General features: G+C 41.0%; 1 annotated feature.

Annotated features, from left to right (window-relative positions):
* Positions 1,069-1,569: an enhancer, noted in NCBI's record as "H3K27ac hESC enhancer chrX:19278446-19278946 (GRCh37/hg19 assembly coordinates)". NCBI's record gives its function as "activates a minimal SCP1, AML or CMV promoter by ChIP-STARR-seq in primed H9 embryonic stem cells {active_cell/tissue: H9 hESC(primed)}" and the evidence as "EXISTENCE:reporter gene assay evidence [ECO:0000049][PMID:30033119]".

The raw sequence follows: 2,024 nt of genomic DNA, 5'->3' as shown, positions 1-2,024 counted from the left end.
CACTTGTTTTGATTTTAGCCATTCTAGTGGGTTCCTAGCAAGTTTTGACACCAAGGATATCTAAGTCAATGTGCAGTAGAGTAAGCAAAAACATGTTTTCCAGCTGGCATTTGAGTTTCTCTAAAAGAGGGAACTGTTTTTGAGAAAGGCCTTTGATAAGCTGCTTTATGCTGCTTTGTTTGGTGGAACACCTATTGTCACAAGTAAATTTAGAATTTCAATCCCAATTTAAACCCTTCAAATAATATATAAATATAGACAGGGAAGCCTGGAAGCCTGTCTATACTCCCTGAATAGACAGGGAAGCCCTTATACCATAGGTTGGAACGAAGCACTAAAGAGATGGTAAATCAGGCCAGGGGCGGTGGCTCATGCCTGTAATCCCAGCACTTTGGTAGGCTGAGGCGGGCGGATCACATGGTCAGGAGAGAGAGACCATCCTGGCCAACATAGTGAAACCCTGTTTCTACTAAAATACAAAAAATTAGCCGGGCGTGGTGGCAGGCGCCTGTAGTCTCAGCTACTCTGGAGGCTGAGGCAGGGGAATTGCTTGAACCTGGGAGGTGGAAGTTGCAATGAGCCGAGATCACGCCACTGCACTCCAGCCTGGCGACGGAGCAAGACTCCGCCTCAGAAGAAAAAAAAAAAAAAAGAGGTGGTAGATCACCTTGCATAAGAAAGGGACAAGCAGGAATGTAATGACGACATGGAAGAGAAAAAAAGAGGAAGAGTCAGGAAATATGATAGAGACTGGAGTCCTGGGCAGTAGAAATGGCCGAGGGAACTTTTTAGGCACCAGGAAATTTATTACATTTAAAATGATCTCCTATATGGTGATTCAATATGATTGCCTTTAGCTAGATCTAGCCAGGTGCCTCAGGATATTTGTTCTGGGGCGTGGGATGGAGAACCAGGAGAAGGGCCTGGGTCCCCTGTTTAGGCCATTCTCAAAGTAAAGATGAGGAAAAAAAAGCTCTAAGAGACTAAGCAGAGAATTCAACCAAAGGTGGAAATCAGAATTAAAGGAAATTAAAAGGATTTTCAAGAGATTCCAGAAACACTGGGATTTCCCAAGGGGTGTAGAGCTTTCATGTGAGCTTTTGTAAATTTTAAGGGACAAGAGTGACATTAGCTGATGGCCAAAACTAGAGTGACCATATACCCTGGCATAGCTAGGACTTAACTGGCCCAAAGTGATCAGTAATAGTGTCACCTTTCACTCTTAAAGGTGTCCTAGTTTGGATAATAAATTAATATGATCACTCTCATCCAGTGATCTCCACTTTGACCACATATTTAAATTATCTGGGGACCTTTACAAAATCCTGATGCCTGGGTTTTACCTCCAGAGATTCTGATTCATTTGTCTGCTGCATTGGCTCTGGGAATCATAAAAGCTCCCAAGCAACTCTAATAAGACACCAAGATTGAGAATCGCTGCTTTAGCTATAAGCCACCGAAATAAGGGTCTATAGAGTAGAAACTGTACTTTTGGGAAAGCCAATCAAATGTGGGCTATCATCAAGAGACATTTGTTTCCAGTAAAGGTTATAGTAATATCTTCAACTTTTGGATCTGAAGGAAAGAAATACTGCAAAATTCAACCTTGTATTCCAGCCAAATATTTAAATACCAAATACTCTTTATAAAAACAACAGATGAGCTAGAATATTTTGTATAGTGTGGCATTTTCATTGAAACTATGGAGTTAGAAATTCTGCTTATGAGTTTTTAGTAGAGGCATTGGTGTAGCGATACTAAAATGTCCCTCCTATACAAATTTCTCCTTTATCTGGCAAAACAAAGCTACAATGCATGTAGACCAACCTTTTATTTTTGACACATTCTTGACATTACCAATCTGAACTGATGTGTGCCCGTATCTTTATTAGGGACATCATAAAGGGATTTGAGCAGGAATGGCTAAGGTTCACATTGTTAAGGGCCTCCTGTTTTTGCTACATAGAGGATGTCTATTCACTTGTCTTGTTGATTGTAAACTAAACTGCATCAGGGAGATTCTG

This window comes from Homo sapiens, chromosome X, assembly GCF_000001405.40.
Source record: "Homo sapiens chromosome X, GRCh38.p14 Primary Assembly".
Taxonomy (NCBI): Eukaryota; Metazoa; Chordata; class Mammalia; order Primates; family Hominidae; genus Homo; species Homo sapiens.
This window is presented reverse-complemented; position numbering and strand designations above follow the sequence as displayed.